The sequence below is a fragment of the Homo sapiens genome, chromosome 2 (assembly GCF_000001405.40).
Source record: "Homo sapiens chromosome 2, GRCh38.p14 Primary Assembly".
NCBI lineage: Eukaryota > Metazoa > Chordata > Mammalia > Primates > Hominidae > Homo > Homo sapiens.
The window spans coordinates 129860040-129886640 of record NC_000002.12 but is presented as its reverse complement, the minus strand read 5'-3'; the positions used below and the strand labels follow the sequence as shown (position 1 = coordinate 129886640).

At 47.5% G+C, this 26601-nt stretch overlaps 2 long non-coding RNA genes across 3 annotated transcripts, besides 4 other annotated features; one reads left to right on the top strand and one right to left on the bottom strand.

Annotated features, from left to right (window-relative positions):
- Positions 1–1251: 1251 nt before the first annotated feature.
- On the bottom strand, positions 1252–8762 carry LOC105373616 (uncharacterized). Of its 2 annotated transcripts, XR_923328.3 has the most exons (3): positions 7975–8762; positions 4314–4465; positions 1252–3464 (listed from the first exon to the last, which is right to left on the bottom strand). It is a non-coding gene; the product is annotated as an uncharacterized LOC105373616 (long non-coding RNA). The 2 variants fall into 2 exon arrangements; XR_007087237.1 differs by having other exon boundaries at positions 1252–4465.
- Positions 5400–5900: an enhancer, noted in NCBI's record as "H3K4me1 hESC enhancer chr2:130638314-130638814 (GRCh37/hg19 assembly coordinates)". NCBI's record gives its function as "activates a minimal SCP1, AML or CMV promoter by ChIP-STARR-seq in naive H9 embryonic stem cells {active_cell/tissue: H9 hESC(naive)}" and the evidence as "EXISTENCE:reporter gene assay evidence [ECO:0000049][PMID:30033119]".
- Positions 7778–8333: an enhancer, noted in NCBI's record as "H3K4me1 hESC enhancer chr2:130635881-130636436 (GRCh37/hg19 assembly coordinates)". NCBI's record gives its function as "activates a minimal SCP1, AML or CMV promoter by ChIP-STARR-seq in naive H9 embryonic stem cells {active_cell/tissue: H9 hESC(naive)}" and the evidence as "EXISTENCE:reporter gene assay evidence [ECO:0000049][PMID:30033119]".
- Positions 8334–8890: an enhancer, noted in NCBI's record as "H3K4me1 hESC enhancer chr2:130635324-130635880 (GRCh37/hg19 assembly coordinates)". NCBI's record gives its function as "activates a minimal SCP1, AML or CMV promoter by ChIP-STARR-seq in naive H9 embryonic stem cells {active_cell/tissue: H9 hESC(naive)}" and the evidence as "EXISTENCE:reporter gene assay evidence [ECO:0000049][PMID:30033119]".
- Positions 8911–9205: an enhancer, noted in NCBI's record as "tiled region #12033; HepG2 Activating non-DNase unmatched - State 4:PromP, and K562 Activating DNase matched - State 4:PromP". NCBI's record gives its function as "activates a minimal TATA promoter and a strong SV40 promoter by Sharpr-MPRA in HepG2 and K562 cells {active_cell/tissue: HepG2 | K562}" and the evidence as "EXISTENCE:reporter gene assay evidence [ECO:0000049][PMID:27701403]".
- On the top strand, positions 9150–26428 carry LINC02572 (long intergenic non-protein coding RNA 2572). The gene is made up of 6 exons (NR_149127.1): positions 9150–9193; positions 13890–14035; positions 17106–17214; positions 20387–20479; positions 24180–24371; positions 25568–26428. It is a non-coding gene; the product is annotated as a long intergenic non-protein coding RNA 2572 (long non-coding RNA).
- The last annotated feature ends 173 nt before the right edge of the window (positions 26429–26601 follow it).

Sequence of the window (26601 nt, the reverse complement as noted above, 5' to 3'; positions counted from 1 at the left end):
GATAAAACTTTGATCTCCACAACCCCTTATCACAAGACAGACATTCCTTTCTATTGATTCCAGGTCTTTAGATAATAACTCAACCAATTGCCAATCAGAAAACCTTTAAATCTGCCTATGACCCGGAAGCCCTTGCTTTGAGTTGTTCCACATTTCTGGACCGAACAGTGTACATCTTACATGTACTGATTGATGTCTTTTGTCTCTCTAAATTGTATAAAACCAAGATGTAATCCAACCACTTTGGACACATGTTCTCAGATCTCCTGAGGGCTGTGTCACAGGTCATTGGTCACTCATATTTGGCTCAGAATAAATCTCTTCGAATATTTTAGAGTCTGACTCTTCTTTGTCAACACTTACATGTTTTATCTCTAACAAATGTCATATATTTTTTAAAAATTACATTTTCTTATTGCTTAAATTTTCTCTTCTTTTTTTCCTCTGGTTTCGTCTCTTTCCTCAGTTTAGGAAATAATTTCTATTGCAGGGAGAGAAGAGAGAATTTGCTCTAGTCTTTCTCATATCTTCCAAATCTCTTGTTCCTTCCCTGAGCTTAAACTTCCAAAATGTAAAAGCCAAGAATTTAACTCCTGGTACCCGTGACAATGCTTTCCTCAGTTGTGGGGCTAACAGCCAGGCCAGAGGGTATGAGGAACCCTGGGGAGTAAAACCCCAGGCAGCCTCTGGATGGTGCCATAATCACACAGCTCACATGCGCTGGAGGGTCTGTGCCTAGGTCTACCAAACCCCGAAGCCCTCACGCTTCTCTTACTTCTTGCTGCTTCTGAGGGCTCTATGGCTGCTGGCTTCCCTATCCAGGCCAACAACTGTCTGCCTGGGACTGAACTGGCAGAAGCTCGGACTGGTTGGCCCCAACTTTCTCCATCTCTTTTCTGCCTTCTCAAGCAACTTTTGTCTGGAGTAAGAAGAGAAAAGATATAAACCCTAAACAAACCAAGTAAAACAAAAAAGTAATAAATTCTACACACTGCTAAGAGAGCTGCCTGTGTCCTTCTCAGGGAAAGGATGCTCCAGGCAGTAAGGCTTGCAAGTTCCTGGGAGCCCAGAGAGTGGACAACTGGCTGTGTGGCTTCAGTCAAGCACCTTTGTCCTCCAGAGGAAAAGGTTTGACCACGTGTTCTCATGGGCCCTTTCATTCTGCATTCTTTGTATATGAAGTGCTCAAGGAGAACTAGATTTGATCCCTTTAAAAGTAAACCCAATTAAGAACTCAGGTTAGAGGCAGAATTTTCAGATAACAATATTAACAGCTGACATTTATTGAGTACTTATTATGGGCTTGACAGTTTTATAAGTGCTTTACGTGGATGGAGACCTTTAATGCTCACAACAGCCTTGTGAGGTCATGGAGTCTTGTCACCCAGGCTGGAGTGCAGTGGTGCGACCTTGGCTCACTGCAACCTCTGCCTCCCGGGTTCAAGTGATTCTTCTGCCTCAGCCTCTGGAGTAGCTGGGATTACAGATGCCTGCCACCACGTCTGGCTAATTTTTTGTATTTTTAGTAGAAAAGGGGTTTCACCATATGGCCAGACTGGTCTCGGAACTCCTGATCTCAGGTGATCCAACCTCCTCAGCCTCCCAAAGTGCTGGGATTACAGGCGTGAGCCACCGAGCCCGGCTGAGGTCAATGTTATTATTACCATCTCATTTTATAGATAAGAAAAGAGGCTTGGAGAGGCTCTGGGATGTCCCCGCAGTCACACAGGCAGTAGGTGGGAGAGCCAGATTTGAGAAATAATATGAATTTCATATGGCTTAGACACTAGTGGGGGAAATGAACATCAACAACCAGTGATCACAGTGATCTCTAGATGCCCTTGGGAAATGCTGGCCTGGACACACCTGAGTAAGGTCTTGGTGGTGCAGAGCCTGGAAAAATGAGCACTGAGGCATTAGCACCTAGCTCAGACTCATCTGCAAGAACTGCCACTTATCAGCTGTGAGAGCTTAGGCACCTTACTTCCCCAGGGGCTGAAGACCCCTCCTGACAGAGGGGACAAACTAACCCTGCAAATATGCTGGCCTGGGCAATACCCTGGTGGACATGTTCAGTGCCTTTCCTTCCTCTTTCTTCTGTCTTCCCACATGTTCGCTGCCTAATGGTGGGGGTCTGCCCCCATCCACCATCCTGAGACTGAGGGCCACCCTGCCCACCAGCCTGAGGGTGGAGTGTGCCCTGCCCACCAGCCTGAGGGTGGAGTGTGCCCTGCCCACCAGCCTGAGGGTAGGATATGACCCTGCCTGTAGAGGGCTTCACCAGGAGTCCCAGGCCCACCCACCCTGTACCTGAGGAGTGGAAAATCAGAAACCCTATTTTTTCACGAACTGCACATGCCTCCCTCATCACCAGCACACGCGATTTGCAGGGAGAGCAGACTTTTTTTTTTCTTCCTGAGACGGGGTCTTGCTCTGTCTCCCAGGCTAGAGTGCAGAGGCATAACCACAGCTCACTGCAGCCTTGACCTCTCAGGCTGAAGCGATCCTCTCACCTCAGCCTCCCAGGTAGCTGGGACTACAGGTGCATGCTACCATGCCTTGCTAATTTTTAAATTTTTTTATAGAGACACGGTCTCACTATTTTGCCCAGGCTGGTCTCAAACTCCTGGGTTCAAGTGATCCTCCCGCCTTAGCCTCCCAAAGTGCTGGGGTTACAGGTGCAAGCCACTGTGCCTGGCTAGATTTTAGTATTTTACCCAACTGAATCTCTTTTGGATTTTACTGCTCAGCCCCAAAGCACTGCTGGAAAGGGATCAGGAAGAGAGGGGGAAAAGTTAGATTTTGTGTGTCCAAACAGGTTCTTTTTCTTTCTTTTCTTTAGAGACAAGGTCTCACTATATGAGAGCTGGTCTCAAACTCTTAGGCTTAAGTGATCCTTCTGCCTCAGCCTTCTGAGAAGCTGGTACTATAGGAACAAGCCCCCATGCCCAGCTCTCCAAACAGGTTATTCTTAAAATTAAAAACAAACAAAAGAAACCTAAAAGCAAAAAGCCAAAAGGAAGCACTCCATGAGAATGGGAGGCTTGCAGGTATTATAGGCAGAGGAAGCTGCTGTCCCTTGCAGGGCAAAGGCTGCATACAGGCAAAGGCCCACAGTGTCAGGGCTGGGGGCACCCCCTCCCCCCAGTTTCTTTGGTCTCATCTCTGCTATCTAATGTAAGCATTTTAATGTCACCTACAAAGGTACTCCTAGCACCCATTTCTCATGTTGATGTTGTTTTCCAACACTCCGAGGCTTGGGCTCTGGAGCTCCCTGTGCTGTGAGCACGTTTCTGGGGACTCGGGTGCAGGGAGCCAGGCAGGCAGAGCCCTCAGGTTGGCTTTGGGCCCTCAGGGGTGCATGTATTGGCACTTCAGTGATGTGTCTTGGTTCACCTGTCCAGGGTGCTATGAGGTGCATCTTCTGCAGGTGAGAGGCTGGCAACAGCCAGGCTTCCTTATGCCTGGAGTAAGAAGGAGAGCAGGATTTAGGCCCAGGTGCTCCTGGGTTTGGAACACATGTTGCTGTTACAAGTTCCCTTTTATAAGTGGAATCAGTTTCCTTCTCAGTCAGGTGAGCTCATGTTGCCATAGCTCCTTTACCGATAAAATGTTAAGTGGATGATGTCAAGTGTGTAAATGTTGTTAGAGGAAGAACCAATCATGCTGGGCTTCCCCAGGGCTGGAACATCCTCTCTGATGCTTCATATCATCCCGGAAAGGAACATCAGCTCTGGGTCAGGCATCAGGGCTCTGCTCTGCATGGCTGGGAGAGATGGCATCAGGTGGGGTGCAGTGAGGGAGCTGGGACCAAACTGCGGGTCTGAGGGACTGTGGGCTTCGGGAGGGCAGGAACAGAGGGAGGGAGGAACAGGCTAGTTCCAGATGGCTGGAGGCTCATCTCAGGAAAGTGGACCTCTCATGCCACTGGAGGGCCTGGACAGAGGGTTAGCTGGCTGGGCCACTTCTGTCATGACGGAGACCCAGAGAAGGGGCCATCAGGCTTGGAGAGGGAAGGTGATGTTGCTCTTGGCAGTGTCAATCATTCAGGTCGAACCAAGCCTCATGGGAGCGCTGGGGCTGCTCCTGCTGGGGATCCCAGTTTTGGATAATGATAATTAACATTCGCTGAGTGCTGCCTGTAAGCTGAGAACCCTGTACATCTCAAATAGAGCATCTCCACAATTCTCACTGTGGTTCTGAAAAATAGGTGTTATCAACCACCATGCTTGATAGACAGGGGGCAGAGAAAATTGAAATAACTTCCCCAAGGCCCGGTCACACAGTTAAAGGTGGGGAGCTGGGATTTGAACCTGGTAGTCCAACTTCAGTGCTTGTCCTGGGTGGTGCCATGTGCCTCTGTCTCCTTGGTGTCCAGATAGCACCCACAAGCCTGGGTTTTACAGTCATCACAGTCACTGGTGAGGCCCCTTGAATCTGCAACTCTAGGAGGAACAGCAACGAGCTGGAGCAGAAATGAGTGAGAAGCATCAAGGGGGATCAGTGCAGTATGGCACAAAGCACTGCCATGGGTAAGTTCTGAGCCCAGAGCCCATTTACTCACGGTGGTTGGTGGTTTCTAACACACCCCCCAATGACCCCACCTTCTCGGCCCTCATGTAATCTCCTCCCTTTGAGTGTGGGTTGGACTTAGAGACTCACATCCAGTGAATGGAATATGGCAAAATGATGGGATGTCCCTCCCAAGATTGGGTAATAAGTAGACTGTGGCTGTCTTGGGCTCTCCTGTTCTCCCTCTCCCTTCCTGATCACTGTGCTAGGGCACCAAAGTGGCTCAAAGTGTAGAGGCCCACTGCCATGGTATAAAGCTGAGGCCCTCAGTCCAGCAGTCCATGGCAGTACCCCGTGGAAGTGGTCCCTACCCTCTGCCACAGCTGAGCCTTCAGTGAGACTGATAGTGTCACTGTGATCTCATGAGGCACCTTGAACTTAAGCTGCCCAGCTAAGCCACGCCTGAACTTAAGCTGTGGTATTTTGGGATAATTATTTAGGCAGCAATAAGTAACTAATATCTTCCCTATGAAGAACCTGCCAATCTCCCTTAAATAGAGAGATCATATGATTAATCATCTTAACCAGGACAATTCTGCAAATGAAATCACACTGGGAAGACAGATGTTAACTTGGACCATTCCTGGGAAATCAGAACATGGAACAAGAGGAGTAGTTGTGGCCTGTTTGGAATTGACTTTGTCCTTGCATTGGCTCCTTGGGTTCTTTCATGCCCCACACCCTACCTGGTGGAGGTGCTGGATGCCAGCTTCCCACTGCAGGACCACCTATGTCTTAGCGTTCTTTACTTTGGCACCTGCCCCTGCGTGGCCTCTAGGGGCCCAGTCCTCATTGGAGCTCCATGCCCTCTGCACAGTGAACACTGTAGGATCTCTGTCCCCTCAGCATCATGACCTGGCCCCGCCATCTCTGCTTTCTGTGCCGTGGGCATTGTTGGCAGGAAGACCTCCATCCTGCTTGGAGTCCAAGCCAACAGTAGGTCTCCCCCTCCGGCAAACGTGGATCTGGTGGTCCTTCTGGTAAAGGTTGAGCTTATGTGGGGCAAGGAACAGAGGCTCAGGGTGGCCCCTATTCCAGGAGGGGTTTTGCAGGAATGTTGTGGGCTGGGGCTGGAACATGTTCAGGATGAGCCCCTCCCTCCATCTCTCATGGTGCCCGCTTCCTGTCCTCTTGCCTCTGAACGGCCCATGATTTCTATGACCCCCTCTACCCTGAATCTCAGAAGGAATCATCCTGATTGCTTTAGCAAATTAACCCATGCTCTGAACAGGTTTTTCTTAAAATTAAAACAAAACAAAACAAAACAAACCTAAAAGCAAAAAGCCAAAGGAAGCACCCCATGAGAATGGGAGACTTGCAGGAATTGTAGGTGGAGGAAGCTGCTGTCCCATGCAGGGCAGAGACTGCATGCAGGCAAAGGCCCACAGTGTCAGGGCTGTGTGCACCCCCCACTTCCTTTGGTCTCATCTCAGCTGTCTAATGTAAGCAAGCCCTCTCCAAGCCTGATGGCCCTTCTCTGGCCCTTTGTTGCCACAGAAAAGGCCCACTCAGCTAAGCCTCTGTTCAAGCCCTCCAGTGGCATGAGAGTCTCACGCCCTTAGGAGCTCACCATCACGGGGCCGGGGGTCAGGGGCGCTGACTTTATGGGCCACTTTTGGGGATAATGCCCACTCAGGTGCACAAAGCTGCTTCTCCTGGGCAACAAATAGCCGTGTTGCCTCCTTGAGCAGGGACTGAGGATGGGGCCCAATCAGCTGGAATGGGACACTGGTTATGGTAACACCCTTAAGGTCCCTCCAGAAGGGGCTCAACCATGTTGTGGTTGGTGAGACACTACCATTGTTGAAATATTGAATCACATTGAAATAATAAATTGTATTCAATAAGAATATAATAAGAGGCTGAAAATGAATCCACTTTAATTGGAGTTATCGCTTTAACTAATTTTTAAATAGTACCTCACCACTTAGGGACCATCAACCATAGGGACCACCCACTTATTGCAACCACATCGTGGGGGCCTCCTGTCCTGGAGCAGAGACAACACCCTTATGGTCACTTCTGATGGGGTGTGCGGTGACAGCAGTTTTTCTGGCTCTCTCACAATTCTGAGCTTTGCAGTGGCAGGAAGTAAAAATGGCTTCTCAGAGGCTTCACAGTGGTGGTCCTCTGATGTTGCCCCTTCCTTGACCACCTCGGGGAGGTGGGCAGGTGCAACCACACATGAATTGCTGCCTCGTGCCCTTCTGGTGTGACACTGGTGGTGTGATATGGCTCATCCTGACACTGCAGGGGTCACGGTCAGCCAGAAAGTACTGGCAACTGTGTTCCACCTTTGGGCTCCATCCATGGGGGCCGCTTGCAAAAGCCCCCCAGCAGCCAGTGCTCACAGCTCCCTCCTCTTGATACAAGGCCTCCTTCCTATGGGAGCGCTCACATGCTAGCAAGCTCGATGTTAATTAAGCATTAATAGGGTGGGGACCAATTGATTTCCCTGTCAGCTGCTCCAGCTCTCATTCCAAAGAAAGGCAATAGAACATGGAGTTTTGATAGATCTTTGCAAGACAGGCATACGAGCAAATGGAATTTTACTTTCTCAGTTACTAGAGCTTTTTAAATTGATTATTGACCAGGGCCCAATTCAGTTTCTTTTAAGTGTCTGTCCCAAGAGGTGAAAACTTTTCAAGGAATTTAACAGGGGCACACTTGGAACTTCTCTTGGTACACAAACTATAACAAATGGTCTTCTCTCTGTCAAGTAATTTCAAATAACTATCATAAAACCACATTGAAAAAAATTTCAAAACGCCTCAGGTAGAGAACTTCAATTCTTTCTGGAATATGATTAATAAGAGACTGAAAGATGAACCCATGTTTATTGGAGTTGTTGCTTAAATTAATTTTTAAATAGTGCCTCACCACCTAGGGAAAACTAAATCACCTTCTCAATGAAGAGACGCAAGGTAATTTGGAGTCATTAAACAGGCCATTAGGAAGTGTCTCTTGCCTATCGGTTAAAAACCACACACACACACACACACACACACACACAGACACACACACAAATTTCCAATTTAGGATGGTTCGACGTATGATGTTTTGACTTCTTACTGGTGTGATAGTGATACACACTCAATATAAACTCTACTTTGAGTACCCACACAACCATTCTCTTTTTCACTCTCAGTACAGTATTCAATAAATGACATGAGATATTCAACACTTAACTATAAAGTAGGATTTTGCCTAACTCTGAGCACGTTAAAAGCAGGCTACACTAAGCTATGATGTTTGGTAGGTCAAGTGTATTAAATGCATCTTTGACTATGGTATTTTCAACTTACGATGGGTTTACTGGGATGTAACCCCCATGGTAAGTCAAGGAGTATCTGTATATACACCCACAAAACTACGGAGAAACAAGGTATTTCCCAAGCCTACCTTAAAGATAAGCAACGCTATCCCGTTTCCGGGAGCCCAGGGGTCCTGCGCTGAGCAGCGGCCTTCCTTGGGCGTTCCAGCTCTTCTGGGCAGCGCCGGGCGCTCTCACACAAATGCTGCCTCCTTCAGCGCGGGTCTTACAAAGTTGTGCTGTTCTGCATGTTGTTATTTCTAGCTTGTGTTGCACATTTCAGTATTTCCCAAACAGAACATACTGACCATCACTTAATGTTTTCTACATGATTCTAATCATTGTCCATATCCATTCAACAACTTTCAGCGTTCAGGGAAGGCATTAGTGCCCGCTTCTGGGGCTGGACGACGGGGCTATCTGAGAAGAACCGGAGGCCGGGGCTACCTCGGGAGCCTCGCGGCGGGAACGGGTCCCAAGGCCTGCGGCGACAGTACCGGGAGGTAGCCCAGGCCATACACACTAGAGCCTGGCGGAGCTGCTGGCCAGGATGCCAGGGCAGCAGGTGCACGCAGGGCCCTAGCAGAGCTCCTCCAAGAGGGGGTCTTCAGAAATAACCCCTGCGAAGGAGTGGGAGGTGCTCCGGCTGCAGCCCCCCCGGGAATAACCCAATACGTCTATTGACAAAGAAGCCGGCCTACTTTGCTTAAATCCAGAATTTATCAAGCATACATGGTCACAGACCACCCCCTCCTGCTGCTCTGGTATGACATCATTACTTTTTTGAGAACTGTTGTGTTCATCATGCAGAATGCCTTCAGCCAGCCTAACCGCCAGCTTCCTCCGGGATGGGTTTTCCTCACTCTGCAGCCCAGCATGTGGGAAAGACCCTGCGCCTGCTGTGCCCGCCCCCGCGCCCGCCCCCCGACACGCGCGCCCGCCCCCCCACACGCGCGCCCGCCCCCGACACGCGCGCCCGCCCCCCCACACGCGCGCCCGCCCCACCTGGCCCTGTTCCCGCCCCCTCCCCTCCCTGCTTCGCCCTGTCCCCGCCCCCTCCCCAGGCTGTTCTGTCCACCCCTGCTCCTTCCGCTCCCGGCCCGGCCCCGCCCCCGCCCCTCTCCCCGGAAGAATGGGGGCCTCTGCTCACACCAGATTGGTCGGACGGCATCACGTGACCTCATCTCTTGGACTCGCTTGCTATTCCCGAAAAGGGGGAAAGGATTTGGGGGGGACAATCGCGGAGCCTCTCGCTGGCTTTAGGGAGAGAGGGCTGGGGTAGAGGAGAGCCCCAGGGAGCAGGCAGAGGTGGGTTGGCTAGGGCCTTGTGTGACTTGGGCTGAGAAACTTCACTTATTCCCTGGCGCTGGCAGTTGTCAAACTGGGTCTTGTAGATGCTAAGTCTCCATAGAGGTATCGTAGGTATGTTGCAAATGCTTGATTTGAATTGCTTTTTTAAAACAAACGTGTCTTAAATAATTTTTAAAGCTTAAATGATTTTAAAAGACTGCTCAAATGTGCCGTGTCTCATTTATGGTTGTTTATTCACGTGCGAGAGGAGCTGGCTCTGCTATCAACAAAAGGGCTGCTGGTTCCCTCTGGCAGTGATTTTGAAACTTTTTAAGCAGCAAAACCCCCTTCCAAACCGAGAATTCTGCGGTGCTTCAGTCATTAAGACTGATAGAAGCTATATTTATTGGGATAGAGTGATTTTATAATCTTTATTATACAATTGATAACCTAGGGAAAGAAAGATTGAGCTGCAAAGAGGGAAGGCAGAGGAGAAGGGAGATATCACCAGGCTGTAGGTGGGAAAGGGAGTGGAATGGTGGCTTAGACAGGTGCAGGCGGTGTGAAGGACTCACAGGAAGAGAGTCTTGCCTTTCCAGCTCCCAGCTGTTTTTTGCTGATGGATTGGATGTGGGGCCACAGGGTGGCAAGAGAGAAAACCAGGATGACTCCTGAGATTTTGGCTTGAGCAACTGGGCCGATTCTGGTGCCAGTTGTTGAGGTGGAGTGTGGGAAACTGAACATGCCCTCGTGTGTGTGGGGACACTTTTGGGCGGTTACAGGAGGTAGTGGTAACGAATGATAATAGCAGAACATCAGGGTAAGCCTGATAAAGAATTATAAAAATCAGGCCATCAGGGTAAACTCAACGTAACTACTGATGCAAATTGAATAGCTTCTGGCTGTTTACTAAAAACGGAATGAGGGATAGTAACTGTAGCTTTAATTCCATAACAATAGAGCTAAAAATCTACCATAGCTGTGTAGACACTTGCTGACTACCTGAATGCATTCAGGTTTTTTCTAAATAATAGAATTATCTAATCATTCTCTATTTTTTGAATTGGCATGTTCCTTTGGGTGTTGGTTTCCTTTCTGCCCCCACAAGTTTGGTGACAAGGATGGGACACCTTGAGTGAGCCTTTCCACTGGGCAAATTGGAGGATGTGTAGCCATCTTCGGTCAGACAAGAGGCCTTGTTTGCTGAAGTCTTTCTTAAACACATTGACTCATTAAGTCTATCATTTGATTGACCCTACTGTCGTAGCTTACACCAAAGAAAAATTATGGTCATGTGTAAAGCTATATCCTCTCCCTAGCTCAAATACGGGGAATTGAACCTGTAATTAGAGAACTAGAAAGAGAATCATAAAGAAAGGACATTTGCCTTGTAATAGTCTTCCTATATTACCTATGAAAAAGGAAGGGAAACTGACAAAGAAGTTTAGCTTGCTTACATATTTTTACAAAATCTGATAGAAATATATTTTTGGTATGTCTGACAGTTGTAGTACTCAACCTCTTAGCCTCCTATTGTGTGACCTAACTAATTTTAGTAATAGACTTATGTTGAGCTTTCTTTTCTATACCTTCAGCAGAGGAACCAAGGTATCTCTTTGTGTTTACCTATGAAGGCTTTCCATATTGGTGGCAATGCATCCCCCAGGGATTCAGAGATTTGCCAACTATAATCTCTAGGCATTTACAAAAGAACTTAAAGAAACTTCCCCCACCTCAGGAGTCCATATATGGATATATATGGATGATTTATTGATAGGTAACACCTCATGTGCTAACAAGATATATTAGGCCAGACATGGTGACTCATGCCTGCAAAACCAGCACTTTGGGAGGCTGAGGTGGGCAGATTGCTTGAGCTTAGAGTTCGAGACCAGCTTGGGCAACATGGTGAAACCCTATCTCTACAAAAACTTATAAAAATGAGCCAGGCCTGGTGGTGGGTGCCTGTAGTCCCAGTTACTTGAGAGGCTGAGGTGGGAGGATCACTTGAGCCTGGGAGGTGGAGGTTACAGTGAGCCGAGCTCGCACCACTGCACTCTAGTATGGGTGACAGAGTGAGACCCTGTCCCCAAAACAAAAACAAGATATATTAGCTTTACGAAAATTCTAGCTTCTAAAGGGCATAAAGCTCCTTTAGATAATTTCCAACATCGTTAGACCGAGGTCAAGTATTTGGAATATTTGTTATTGGCTGATGGATGGGAAATAGTTCTGTCCCCAAAGCCACCTCTTTTACAAATGAAGCAATAGCTCCATGTAGCAACAGCTCTGTCACTGCGAAGAAATAGCTCCACCCTTTTGAGGTTGGTGTGCATCGCAGGCAACGGGTCCCTGTCTCTTCTGAGAGGCAAGCCACTCATGGTGGTGCTACATGAAGCATCGCTAGGTGCATTTTTGCAATAGCTAGGAGAAGCTAAAAAAGCCTTCAGATCCTTAAGTAGCCATTGTTTTCCTGCCTGTACTTGGAGTCAGTTCCTAGCTGGTCATCTCTTCTCCCTTTTCTGTAAGGAGAGCAAGGGTGCTGTTAGTGATGGGTATGCTTCCTCAAACACTAGCCTTTGGTTGGCTTTCATGTACCACTGGATTCTGTTGCTCCAGGGATGCCAGGCTGTTTAGAAGTCATTCCAACATTGGGTCTCTGCTTGGGAAGGTGCAGGCCTTGGCTCGGGGATGTAATTGTTTGGGCCTTGTGCTGTTGCTGCTGCTTTGTTTTTTTTGTTTTTGTTTTTTTTTGTGTGTTTTTTTTTGTTTTTTTGTGTGTGTGTTTTTTTGTTTTTTTTTTTGAGACAGAGTCTAACTGTTGCCCAGGCTGGAGTACAATGGCGCTTACTGCAACCTCCACCTCCCGGGTTCAAGCGATTCTTCTGCCTTAGCCTCCCAAGCTAGGATTACAGGTGTGCACCATCATGCCCGGCTAATTTTTGTATTTGTAGTAGAGACAGGGTTTCACCACGTTGGTCAGGCTGGTCTTGAACTCCTGACCTCAAGTGATCCACCCACCTTGGCCTCCCAAAGTGCTGGGATTACAGGTGTGAGCCACCACACCTGGCCTGTTGCTGCTGCTTTTTGAAGTTCCTATGACACAGCACTTGTCAGTGCTCTGTAAGCGTTACTGGCTGACCCTAGTGGGATTCTAGGAAGGTGTGAACTTTGAGCCCAGTGACTCTGTTGCCAGATCCTGACTGGACAGCAGCACAACCACCTCGCAGCCCTCAATGAAGATGCATGGCCTCCATCTGATTCATCATATAGTCTTATTCCCATGTTAACTTAATAGCATTCATTGATGGGTCTTATGTGAGAGACACAGGAGGAGACAGAAAAGCACCCAATATAGAAGTCAGTTCTCATGGGATTCTAGAGGCTTGCATTCCCCCCACACATAAAGTCAGCCCAAGCAATGGAACTCAGCTTTTATGTGAGCTGTAACAGTCACCACTGGTCTTAATATGTGTATCTATACCAGTAGTAAATGTGCGTTTGGGGTCTGTCATGCTGTGGGACAAATTAAAAAATAGAGGCTTTGCAATACGAATGGGAATGACAGCGTCATGGGGAAAGTAACTGCCCCTTTCTGTAGTTCATACCAGCTCTGTGGAGGCCCTGGTGGGAGGATGTGGGGAGCTTCATTAGCTGTTTTGTAGTTGCCACTCAAGTCATTTATCAGCATCCAAGCCTGGGGATTAGTGAGGCTGAATGTAGGCAGGGGCAGTGGGGACAGGAACAGATGTAGTTGGAAAAAATATTAAGGAAGCACTTGGTGCTCACTGGAAGGCAGAGTTGTCTAGGAAAGTGTCTGGGCCTCTGGGTTGGGTGATTAGGTGAGTAGCTGAGACATTCGCACATTCACTATTACTGGAAATACAGGAGGAGAGGGTGCAGATTTGCAGGACTCATCTATGGTCACGTTGAATTTAAAGTGGATGTAATAAAACATATTGATGTCATTCTGAGTGATGACAGAAATTGGATGCAAAGGAACGTCGTGAACCAGGTGCAAAAATCTTGTACCAATATAGCTCAAGAGATGAAATCTCTGAGGTGTAGGGTGTTACTTAGCTGAATGCTGTGAATAAAGATGGAACAAGTATTTTTTTAATGAGGAATTTAAAAAATGGCAGTAGCTATGCACTGACAAGTGAGGAAATAGCCAACTCTACCTGTTGACCCCAAGGTGTTCAAGATGAAGGAGAAGGCTCTCATTAACATGGCCTCACAAGAGAACCAGACTTCAGGGAGAGGAGAGCAGAAGGTGATTATATTATGGGTTAGGTGGAAGTTGTGGGGACATGAAATGGTGTCCTAAGAGGTATTTCCAGTTTTCTCTGAAGGATGATACCTTCATCTAGGCCTTCAAAGATTACTCTTTTAATAACTTCCCAAGTACAATAACTGCACATAGTCAAAGATGGTCAAGTACAAAGAAGTAAGATACCATGAATGAAAATCAGCAACACCACCCCACCTCCCAAAAAAATTAACAATGGATTCTCAAAGACTTAAATGTTGAAATAATCAGATATAGCATATAAAACAAATCTTACTATGTTTTATCAAGACAAGCTTGAAAATATTTGTGGGGAATAGGAAAGTGTATAAAGTTATATAGTAGTATTGAAAAAAAACAACAGAACTTTTAGAAGAAACCAAGGTTAAAAACTCAGGTGAAATCTCTTGACTTGCTTGTTGCTAGGATATTCTTTCTGGGAGCCCTGAGCCCATCTAACCTCCAGTTCGTCCATCAACTGATTACTGCTCAGTCACCTCAGATGATACCACTGGGAGCCAGAGAACTGCCTAGCTGTGCCCTGCCTGAATGTCTGACTCATCACTCATGGTGTAAGTGAAAGTGAATACCCAGCCACACCTGGGTAAAGACCTAGACAGAAGCCCAGGGGTCTGTTTCTCCCACCCCTGCCTCACCTCCAAAGGCACTTGCTATCTTTTTTTTGTGAGACGGAGTCTTGCTCTGTTGCCTAGGCTGGAGTGCAGTGGCGCGATCTCGGCTCACTGCATGCTCCGCCTCCTAGGTTCACACCATTCTCCTTCCTCAGCCTCCCGAGTAGCTGGGACTACAGGTGCCCACCACCATGCCCAGCTAAGTTTTTGTATTTTTAGTGGAGACAGGGTTTCACCATGTTAGCCAGGATGGTCTCAGTCTCCTGACCTCGTGATCTGCCGGCCTTGGCCTCCCAAAGTGCTGGGATTACAGGTGTGAGCCACCGTGCCCTGCCAACCTGCTATCTTCACCTTCACGATCTGTAGCACAGTGCACTCCTAAATACTGCATATGCGTCCCTAAAAAACATACTGTATCCTTAACATTTAAAACCTTATTGATTGTGAAGTGTGCCATTATCTTATGTACCAATAAGGAAAAATGATGCAATGAAACTGACACTTTCTTGATTAAAATTTTCATTTTATGCTTATTAAAAAGAATACTTATCACTTCACTTGTAACTTACTAACTCAGGCTGATGCCTCACACATACACGAAAAGAAATTAAAAATTCTTAAGCGGCTCAAACTGCCAAAAAGGCCAGCTGTGCAGCTGGACTCAGCCAGACACTCAGCAGTGGCACCAGCAGCTCCTCTATATGAGCTCCGATGAGGCTCTGGAAGTTTGAAGATGATGTTACCTATTGGCTAATGAAGTCAAATGGTCTTGACTTTCGTGGTAATTATGATGCTAAGACTGCCAGCGGTCTGTAAGAAAGCCCAGAAAGAGTGGAGCTGCACTATGGTAAGAAATTCTCAATGGCAAGCACTCTTTTTGCATAGAGAATGATACAGCAAGGGAAATGCAGACACAGACAATCTGGGTCAAAAGTGATGTGGAGAATGTGGATCCCAATTAGGAAGAGATTTTCAGACTACTTGAACCAGAATATTTTGCTTAATTTTTCTTTTTTAATGCATGCACGAGCATAATATATAATAAAATCGATGTGCGCACACATCATAAATTTTCTTTTTAATAAGCATAAAATGAAAATTCTAATCAAGAAAGTGTTTTTTCATTTAACTGCATCATTTTTCATTATCTGTATGTAAGATGATTGTATACTTCATATTCAATAGAGTTTAAATGTGTTAACTAAAAAAAATCACAAATTTATAAATGTTGAGAGGAGACTTTATTTCTTATAAGGGTTAGAGTCTACAAGGTGGCCATTCCTCAGGCTGGGAAGTGTAGCCTCTGGCAAAGCCCACAGACAGGCATTTTCAAAGAGGAGGGGCTGAGCTTTGTGCTGAACAGTTTGGCTGAACATACATATTCAACAGCTTACAGGAGGAGCTATGAATATTCATGAAGGTGGTCCTGATGCATGCGTATTGAACACACATGTATGTAACCTATGACCTATATCCACCCTGGGGAGGAGACTTAACATTTAAATCCATTAAAATTAAGCCCTATACATGAAAAGATCTTTTCAGGACCTGAAGGCAGCCTCTGTAAACTGGCCAGAACCAGTCTGTGGTGGTTGGTTTTCTTATCTGGAGAAAGTTATTGAAATCCATTTCTTGTCCAATCAAAGCTGTAGTTATGGCTGATGAAACAGCGGGCTTAGTTAGTCATTGTCTAATGGTGAGCTACAAATTGCTTTAACATTGTTTATCTCATGGCCAGTGCTTGTTTTGCTGCTAGAGAAAAAGAAGAACCTTATGACAGTTAGAAAATAGTTTATTCTTTAAAGCTTAGGGGTGTGGGACTTAACCCTCGCCTGACATGGCCTCGGGTCCTGTTTATAATGTGGCATCTTATTGCCACAGAGCCTGTTCTGTCAGTCATACGGCCTCTATTTTAACACGAATGCTGGTCAGTTGTTGTGTGTATACTACAAGTAAAAGGGAGGGGGGATAATGAGGCATGTCTGACCTCCCATCCTATCATGGCTGAGAACTCAGTTTTTAAGGTTTTTCTGGGGTCCTTTTGCCCAAGAGGGGGGTACATTCAGTTGGCAGGGGACTTAGGATTTTATTCGGCAGCTCACGCCTGTAATCCCAGCACTTTGGGAGGCCGAGGTGGGTGGATCATGAGGTCAAGAGATCGAGATCATCCTGGCCAATATGGTGAAACCCCATCTCTACTAAAAATACAAAAATTAGCCGGGCATGTTGGTGCATGCCTGTAGTCCCAGCTACTCGGGAAGCTGAGGCAGGAGAATCATTTGAACCCAGGAGGCAGAGGCAGTAGTGAGCCGAGATCGTGCCACTGTACTCCAGCCTGGGCGACAAAGGGAGACTCCATCTCAGAGAAAAAAAAAAAGAAAAAAAAATTTACAGATGTTATGAATACCGTACGTTGTGTAGGGATGCATATGCAGGTGAACAAATGAAACACAGCAAGGAATTGACTATGGTAAAAGTCAAGATGGTGGGCACCATGGGGGTTGAGGCAGGGGTCAGGGAGAGAACCTTGGCTTTGGCAGGCTCTAGGTCTTCACCTCGGTGTGGTTGGGCATGACTTTTACTATTATTGGGTGAATTATAAATATATGTTTTATGCACTTTTCCATGTGTGTCATTTTCATAATTAAAAAGTTTAAGGCCAGGCATGGTGGCTCACGCCTGTAATCCCAGCACTTTGGGAGTCTGAGGTTGGGGGATCACTTGAGGTCAGGAGTTTGAGACTAGCCTGGCCAACAAGGTGAAACCCTGTCTTTACTAAAAATACAAAAATTAGGCGGGCATGGTGACGGGTGCCTGTAATCCCAGCTACTCGGGAGGCTGAGGCAGGAGAATGGCAGGAACGTGGGAAGCAGAGCTTGCAGTGACCGGAGATTGCGCCACTGCACTCCAGCCTGTGTGACAGAGTGAGACTCCATCTCAAAAAAAAAAAAAAAAAAATTTGAATACATTATAAACTCAAGTTATAAACTTGGTATCCTTTGACCTTTAGGGATGACCTTTTTCCTGAAGAAACTGCTGCAGAATGAAAGCTCCAGGCGCTTGGGTGCAGCAAGTAGGCTATGCATTTCCCACCAGCAGGAATCTAGCTCCTGGCCAAGGTGAGCCACGCAGAGCAGCAGCCACGGGTATCATCCTCCCAGGAGGCAGATCCCAATTCGCGGAGAAGACCCGGCCAGCGGGAGGATGCCAGCCTCATCCTCAAGGCTGGGATTGGGACTCTTTCCAGAAGGAACGACCTCTGTGCTTGAGTTGGTTGGGGGGCGCAATGGATTCTTTAACACTGGGGAAATTCATACAGATGAAAGTGAGAGACACATGACAGTGAACTGTAAACATCAGCCAGGTCTTAGAAACGCTGGGGGAGGGACACACAAACCTTGTGAGAAGAAAAATAAGCTTTTGTGGAAGTGAGGTTTGGAGGCCAAGAGTCCTTTAAGCGTCTTAAAGGATCCACTGTGCATCCTTTGTTAGTGGTGGGTGTGCTTCCTCCAACACTAGCCTTTGGTTTACTTTTATGTGCCACTGGATTCTGTTGCTCCAGGGATACCAGGCTCTTTAGAAGCCATTCTAGCAGCTGGTCTCTGCTTGGGAATGTACAAGTGTTGGCTCTGGGACATGTAATCGCCTGTGCCTCCTGATGTGGTTTCCAAGCATCCACTGAGGTTTCTTTCACTTTGGGGGAAAAGATGAGAGGCCCTGTGCTTAAACAATTTGGAAGCAGAAATCCAAACACCAGGGACCTGAGTGCAGCAAGGGCAGGGTCCTGGGAGGGCCTCTCCAGAAACCGCTCTCCTTCTGGAGGGAGGATGGGGTCATCTTTGCTGAGCAGAAGGCAGCGATGGTTTCCTTTTAGATGCTGTGGGTGCCCCTGTCAGCAAGAACCCCAGTTGTGGCCTCAGGGGTGGGGAGGAGAGCTCTTTCAGTGTTGCCTTAGGTGTGTGTCTGTGTGTGTCCTAACCCAGTCCTTCCCACACTCCCCCACGTGCTGATCACGACGAGCACCTCTAAGGCTGGGTCTTTGCATTAGAAAGTTATTTGTTAGGGGTACAGGGGGCAAAGAAGGCACCTGGCACTCATCCTCACCTCCAACTCCCATGCTTGGGCAGGATGTCTTTGTCCCTGAGTGAGGTGACGAGCTTTGCTGGCCCCACAGTCTTACCTGCCTGGTCGGGTGAGCCAAGGGGGACCCTGTCCATGATGTCTGGGCCAAGATGTCCCTGTTGGCGACCCTGGAGGGTCCTCTGTCCTGCTGCTGCTCCTGTGGTCACGTAGGGGGTCTGCTCCTCATGGACCCACCACCCCCGTGTAGTTGTAATGCAAGTGAGGGGTTCTAATTTTGTCAGCTTTATCTTAGTGAAATAAAGGTTAATATCACAGAACCGAAAACAAAGCTTCTGCTCATTACTAGGGAGTTTCAGCTACTCCCTTTCCGCAAAACAATAAATCCAATCTTAACATTTTCAGCTTTCTCATGATTCTCACTCTCCCTTCTCAGGTGAGATAATCCTAACAATATTCTTGGAGAAATTCTATGTGTATGTGTGTGTGTGTGCGTGCATGCATGTGTGTGTAACTTTTTCCTTTGCCAGCGGGAATTAAACTTACTTGGTGAAAGAGACAGCAAGAAAACAAAAGGCAGTATTTAACATTTTAGGTGAAACAGTGGGGGTTTTAGACACGACAATGGTGATTACAGTTGATGGATAAATAGATAGCACTTTATGATCAATTACTCTGAGTATTTTAGAATATATGAATTGCCTTAGAGATATGTGCTCATGTGTATGTGTGTGTGTGTTTGTAGGTGAGTGTGTGTCAGATGTGTGTGCACATGTATGTGTATGGTTGTGTAGCCATGTGTGTATCAGCATTGGAACTGAATGACTAATATGCCAATCTGTCTTAGGTATGTTCTTTCCTTCTTCTATTATGGGCTGATTAATTAAAAACTAACCTGGTGGGCAGGTGTGGTGGCTCACGCCTGTAATCCCAGCACTTTGGGAGGCCAAGGTGAGCAGATCCCCTGAGGTCAGGGGTTCAAGACCAGCCTGGCCAACATGGTAAAGCCCTGTCTCTACTAAAAATACAAAAATTAGCCGGGCGTTGTGGTGGGTGCCTGTAGTCCCAGCTACTTGGGAGGCTAAGGCAGGAGAATTGCTTGAACCCGGGAGGTGGAGGTTGCAGTGAGCAGAGATCATGCCACTGCACTCTAGCCTGGGCAACAGAGTGAGACTCCATCTCAAAAAAAAAAAACAAAAACAAAAACCCAAAAACAAAAAACCTGGCTAGGCCGGGTGCAGTGGCTCACACCTGGAATCCCAGCACTTCGGGAAGCTGAGGCAGGTGGATCACCTGAGCTCAGGAGTTCAAGACTAGCCTAAGCTAGCACCCAGCTAGCCCTGAGAAGTAAATGAGCAGCTTGATAAGCAAGAAGGTAATAGTAGTCTAAAACAACAGGCCAAGGAAGTGGAAGTTAGAGTCAGATACTTGGTTCCCCTATAGAAACTGAACTTAACATCTTGACATACGTTCCTGAGTTGTTTTTCAGAAACCCAGACCCCCACCGAACTGATCTGTGGCACATAGACCTCTGATAAGGGGGAACTGAAGACTGAATTCTGGACTACCATCCTTTGTTCTAAATTTCTTCTTGAAGGGCCTGGAGGGAGTCACACATGTGAGCCAGAGCTAACATTCTTTCCTGATGGACCCTAAATTTATAAACAAAGCTTCTTTTCATTAACTAATTGCAAATCAGAAAATCTTTTAATCTACCTATGACCTGTAGGCCCCATCTCTACAAAAAAACAAAAAAACAAAAAAGAAGAAAGAAAAAATTAGCCAGGTGTGATAGTGCATAGCTGTAGTTGCTTGGAAGGCTTAGGTGGGAGGATAGCTTGGAAGGCTTAGGTGGGAGGATCGCTTGAGCCCAGGAGGCGGAGGTTGCAGTTAGCTGAGATTGTGTCACCATACTCTAGCCTGGGTGGAGTAGAGACTATGTCTCAAAACGCAAATGAACAAAAAACTAACCTGGCTCTAAAAATTCAATTTTTCTCTCAGTGAAAATTTTGGGATTGTGCTTCTGCATCTTTTAAGTGTGTAAGATTTTTGCTAGCTTCACCAGACACAAGAACCTAGGAGCTGCTGTAATAGGGGCTACTATTGGGAACTGGGTATTCATGAAGAGGAGGAGATGCAGTGGTATACTGGGCATTTATTAGCATAAGATAGATGCAATATTTTCTTTTATTTTTCTTTGTTTCCCCCCAGGAAATCATACGTGATGTGTAGGGAAGTGTGTGGGGCAGTGGAAGGAATGTGGACCGTTGCCTCCCTTCGCTTGTCTGGATGACCTTGGATGAGGTAACCGACCTTAGCTTCAGCCGTCTCATGGTACAATGGGGAAAGAAGCCTCATTTTCATTTTCCTGGCTGTGTGGGTTAGGAATGACGCTTCGAGGTGCGGAGCATTGACGCCGTGCTCAGGACTCTTGCACTTCACTTTGAACAGATGGGTGACTGGGTGCATGGCGTGGTTCTGAGGCCTGCTAACAGGAATGATTTATTTAGAAAGTCAGGTCTGGGGGCTGGGCACGGTGGCTCATGCCTGTAATCCCAGCACTTTGGGAGGCCGAGATGGGCGGATCATCTGAGGTCAAGAGTTCGAGACCAGCCTGGCCAACATGGTGAAACCCCATCTCTACTAAAAAAAAATATATATAAAAATTAGCTGGGCATGGTGACAGGTGCCTGTAATCCCAGCTACTTGGGCAGCTGGGACAGGAGAATCACTTGAACCTGGGAGGCAGAGGTTGCAGTGCGCTGAGATCCTGTCATTACACTCCAGCCTGGGTGACGAGTGAAACTCCATGTCAAAAAAAAAAAAAAAAGAAAGAAAAGAAAGTCAGGTCCAACTAAGTGATTCCCCGCCCCCCACCTTTTTTTTTAAAAGCAGGGTTGATGGGGAAACCTCCCTTCTGTTTCTGGAGGGGAGACCCCTGGTGCAGGGGAGCAGGCAAGTTCACACGTGTGGGGGCTGCACATACCGAAAGCGTGGGCCCATGGTTGAGAGCCAGCTCTTCCTGGGAGTTTCTTGACCTCTTGTGAAAGATGAAAAGTGGCATAAGATCTCCCTGGGGCACTTTATCAGGAGAGAGATCTTGGGCAAAAAAAATACTCCCTTTAAGAGAGTTTCTTCTCTAAATGGGAACGTGGCTTTTGAAGGCTGTGAAAGTAAAACACTTAAAATTGAAGAATGAATTCGAGGGCTATAAATGGGGCAGTTTCCACATGCTTCTATTCAGGCATATCTTTTGGTTTGGGGATTTTTTCGGCCTGATGATCTTCACTGGATTCCAGAAAAATGTTTCTAAGTGAATATTATTTAACCATTTTGTTGTACTGACTATACCTGGTAGGATAAAAGCAAGCCACACATTTTTTCATTTTCCTGGGACAGAGCAGGGACCCCATTTTAGGGCCCCCCAAGCATGGAAATAAAGGAAAATCTTGAGTTCCTTTAAGGGAAATTCCAGGTACCCAGCTAGCCCTGAGAAGTAAATGAGCAACTTGATGAGTAAAAAGATAGTAGTAGAGTAGTCTAAAACAACCGCCAGGGAAGTTAGAGTCAGATGCCTGGTTCCCTATAGAAACTAAAGATACCATCTTAACATATGTCCCAGAGTTGTTTTTCAGAAATCTGGACCCCCATCAAACAGATCTGTGGCACATAGGCCTCTGGGAAGGGGGACCTGAAGACTGAATTCTAGACCTGAATTATTTGTTCTAAATTTCTTCTTGAAGGGCCTGGAGGGAGTCACACCCACCAGCCAGAGCTAACATTCTTGTCTGATGACCTCAAATTTGTAAACAAAGCTTCTTTTTCATTAACTAATTATAAATCAGAAAATCTTTGAATTTACCTGTGACATGTAAGCCCGTTGTTTTAAGATATCCCGTCTTTTTGGGCCAAAACCAATGTGTAACTCCCATGTACTGACTTAGATTTTGCCTATCACCTTTGCTTTCGTGAGATTTACCCTTGCCTTTAGAAACCTTTTGGGCAAGCCATTGGGGAAGTCAGAATTTAAACATTCGCTGCTGGTCGTCCTGCTTTGTGCCTTGCAAATAAATGCCTTCCTTTCTGCCACGGCAGAACCCATGTGGATACCCGGTCTTACTGTGTTGGGCAAGCAGGCCCCACATCGGATCTACAACCTTCCCTCTGCCCCTTTAATGGTCTCTCTGGGTGTTTTGGGTAGACTCCAATATTTTCCCAGTCCCTCTCAGACCCATCTGGTATAACATAAAACCTTTAAACTCCTAGCTTGGCTAGTTGTCCTTCTAACATCCATCTCCCTTCTTCCTCAAGAATGGAATCCTGATTTTGTTTGGGTGTTAACGTGCCCAGACAGAAACCTCCCTTCCTCAGCCTCTGGTCCATCTGCACATTGCCAGGTGACACAGTCTGGTGATGAGTTACCATCTGATGGTTTTGGGCAAAGCTTTTGCTTTCGTGGCCTAGGCATGTTCCTTCTTTGCTTCCTTCTCTCGGTAGACAAACAAGAGGCCAGGGTATCAGCCATCTGTGGCCAAAGAATGGGGGAGTAAAACCAGGGTGAACACCCTCCTGGGACTGCCTCCTTTGGCATTTGCTGCATTTAAGATACCCTCTCCCGGATATGTGGAGACCACTGTCAGTTGGGTTTTCTTTTGCTTGCAGCTGAATGCAGTCCTTGATGACACATCTGGGGGCTGTGAGTGTTTGTGTGGGGCAGAGTGCTCCTGTGCCAACACAGCCTCAGGAAGGGCCTCTCTCAATCTGCTTCAGTGTCCCATCAGCAAGCAGGGAGGAGGTGATTGGGTCAGGAAGAGGGAGTGGCCTGGAACACCACTCACTCAGCCTGGGGGTCTCTGTGAGTGTCCTCCGTGTACTTGTCCTATTCAATCCTGATGTCCTCAGGGGCTGGAACTGTCTTGCCCTCATTCTCAATAAGCCTAGAATGAGGCTGGGCCCTGAGGAGGGGACACCTGGGAGCACACATTCAGACTGGTACTCAGGCGGTCACAGCCAGCTCGCACACAGCCAGTGGGCCAGATTGGGGCACCCCACCCACCCATGGGAGAGCACACACAGCCTAATATGCTAGGTGTCTGAGACCATGTGCATCAGTGGATCCTGAGTCTAGTAGGTGACGGGACAGGGCATTGCAGGGAGGATGCCTCATCCTCAAACACAGTGGGTCTTTCAGGTTCACTTTTTTTTTTTTTGAGACGGAGTCTCACTCTGTCTCACAGGCTGGAGTGCAGTGGCGCGATCTTGACTCGCTGCAACCTCCGCCTCCTCACCTCCTGGGTTCAAGTGATCCTTCCACCTCAGCCTCCCGACTAGCTGGGATTATAGGTATGCACCACCACGCCCAGCTAATTTTTGCAATTTTTTTAGTAGAGATGGGGTTTCGCCATGTTGGCCAGGCTGGTCTCAAACTCCTGACCTCAGGTGATCCGCCTGCCTCGGCCTCCCAAAGTGTTGGGATTACAGGTGTGAGCTACTGCGCTCAGCCAGGCTCACATTTTTGTTAGAAGTCGCATTAGGGAGTCTCCCACAGTGCAGAGAGAGAGAAGAGGGAGGAGCTAACATTTCTTGCGTAACTAGTATGTTTCCATCAGGACTTAGCATGGTCCTGCAGCCACCCAGAGAGGTGGTTACTAAAACTGCCATGGCAGAGGTAAAGCAAGGAAGAAGGGAAGTGATGCCTCCAAACCTCTGAGGGAAGAGGCTGCGCATTCCACCCACCTCCAAGAGGGAAGCCCCTGCACTTTCTGTAGCAGCGGGGATAGAGAGAAATGTAAAAGTTCCGTTTCACAGACTGGCTCATGGAGAATTCTGAGCAATTGAATTGAGTAATAAAATAAGTGTTTTAAATCTTGTTATAACTTTAAAAAAATTTAAATTCATCGAGACTTTCCTTCCCGGCTCTTCTCCTCTGAGTTCCCGACTGTGCACTTTGCGTCTTACTCAGATATGAAGGCATCTTGCTGCCTATATCTTTCCGCTTGCTCAGGCCTCAATCCTGGTAGTCACCTGGACTCCTCCTGAATTTCCCGCATGTCCTGCAGCAGTGACCCCATCTGACATGTTGTGTGGCTGGCTGTCCCCCAGTGAAATCATAGCCCTGGAGGGCAGGGTGTGTTTCTTCGTTTTCCTGCCTGGTGTGTGGAGACCCTGTGTGACCGTGGCGCAGATCAGGAGCTCGGTGAGTTTAAGAGAAAACAACGATTCCTACACTCACTGCCTTAAGTCAGAATCTTTTCTCTCTGGGCCTGCCTCTCCCATTAGCCCTGGGCTGTTCGCAGCCACAGACCCCTCTGAGCCACTTCTGTGTTTCCAGGGCTGGCCACCAGCAGGGGCTCAGGAATGTTTCTTGAACTAAGTTGAACAGATCTGAGCAGCTGGGATGTCAACAGGTGAACCTGGATGGGGGGAGATAGGTCAGGCTTGGTGCCCATCAGGCCCAGGGCCAGCACAAGTCACTTACCTGGGAGGTGAAGGAGAGGAGCAGGGAGAGCAGGCAGGGCTGCCAGCAGGGGAGCCAGCTACCCTGGTGGGAAGCTGGAAACGCTGGGCTGGTGCAGACATACCAACTGTCAGGGGCGCTGCCCTGGGGCTCCCGCCAGTGGCTGCAGGGAGGGCAGGATGGCGGTGTGGAGATGCAGAGACTGCATTGGGGTAGGGGGCGGGCTGAGCCGCTGTGTGGTGGGTCTGAGGGGTGAGTGGTCCTCTGCAGCAGCTGCTACTCACTGGGGAGGGTGCAGTCATCCTGGGGGAGGACATCCTGATTCAGGATGGGAGGGAGCAGGTAGGAGCACCCCAACAAACTGCTGGGGTCACGACTTCCATCTTGCTCATTCTTGAACTGAGGGTGAGAAGCACCAGGATGTGGCCGCCACATGAGTGTAGCACTGCGTGTGGGGCCAGGGCAGCCAGGGCTCTGTTTTAATAAGATAATTCAGTTTGGGATCTGGGTGGACCCAGATTCAAATCCTGCTTGTAACCCTTGCCAGCTGCTTAATCATAGGCAAATTACTTGGCCTCTCAGCCATGTTTTCCTTGGTGGTGAAATGGAGTCAGATAGCTCTCCAGTAGGATGGCCGTGCCCCTATATGGTAGGTGCAGGCAGGAGGCCTGGGGCATCCTAGGTTCAAGGCAGGCCACGCATGTTTGCATCCCCTCCCTCCACCAGCCCAGTGCCACCTAACCACGTGCTGTTTTTATCAGCTAAGATAAAGCTAGCTGCTATAGTAGATCAACCTCAGCTTCTCGGTGGCATGACTTAACACCTTAGAATTTAATTCCTTACTCAGGGAAGCCCAGTCCATAGAGGTGAGAAGTGGAGGGTGCTCTCTGCACTTCTCACAGACCCAGGCTGACAGAGTCCCTGCCATCCCCAAGGTCCGGTCCTGGATACCCTTGGCATTGACATGTGGCTGCAGACAGTGGAAGAGAGAGAGAGTAGAAGACCTGCCTGAGCTCACTCAGCATGCGTCAACTTCATTCCCAGTCCACGACTGGAGCGTAGTCACATGGCTGGAGCGTAGCCCTGGAGCAGTCACAGGGCTGCAAAGGCTGCCGGGAAGTGTGTTCCATACTGTGTGCCCAGAGCAAGGGAAGGGGTTTGGTGGGAGTTTGCCAGTTCCACCACAGCGCTGCTGTGACAATTGAAATCAAATGCATGAAGGGACTGGTTTTCACACAGGTCAGGTGTCATGACTGCTACAAGCTGGGTTTTCCTCCAGCTTGTACTCCTGTCCAGACAGAGCGTCTATTTTTTTTTCTATCTACTGAATCAGAGAACCTACCTTTCTCAGGTCAGAGTCCAAATTCCCAACTTGTATCAAATGAGATTTTCTTCCCAGTAATAAATAGTGGGATGTCTACAGACATTTGCAAGGTGTTCGTCGCACCTCGTGATTTCTCCCTTGGCAGGGACCTGTGGCCACTGTGTCTGGCTCAGGACACTGACAAAACACCAGGCTCAGGATTTTTTCCCCCACAATACAACTAGATCCTGACCAAGGGTTTTTGATGAAAATCAGATTTTGAAGACTGCTGTGGTTTATAAGAGCTTCCTCAAGAAGAAGACTTTGTAGACCTCACCATTTACAGATATGAGAGAGAAGTTTCCTTCTGAGTGATCTCATTCTGCTCTGATGTCCCTGGGAACACACATTGGAGCCAATATCTCCCATCTTTTCAAATTAAATTAGCTCCCTGTAGGGAGCCAGATAAAAGAATGATGGAAAGAAATGGAACAATATAGATTAGCCCATTTTTGATGCTTGGGTTAAATTTTATTAAAATGACTGTTCTGCATGGCCTAAACCATCTATTTTGAGAATGATTTGTCATTATTTCTAAAAATGTACTTATAACTCTGCCCTAAATTGTAACTAAATCTGAAAAACATACTTAAATTCTGCCGAAGT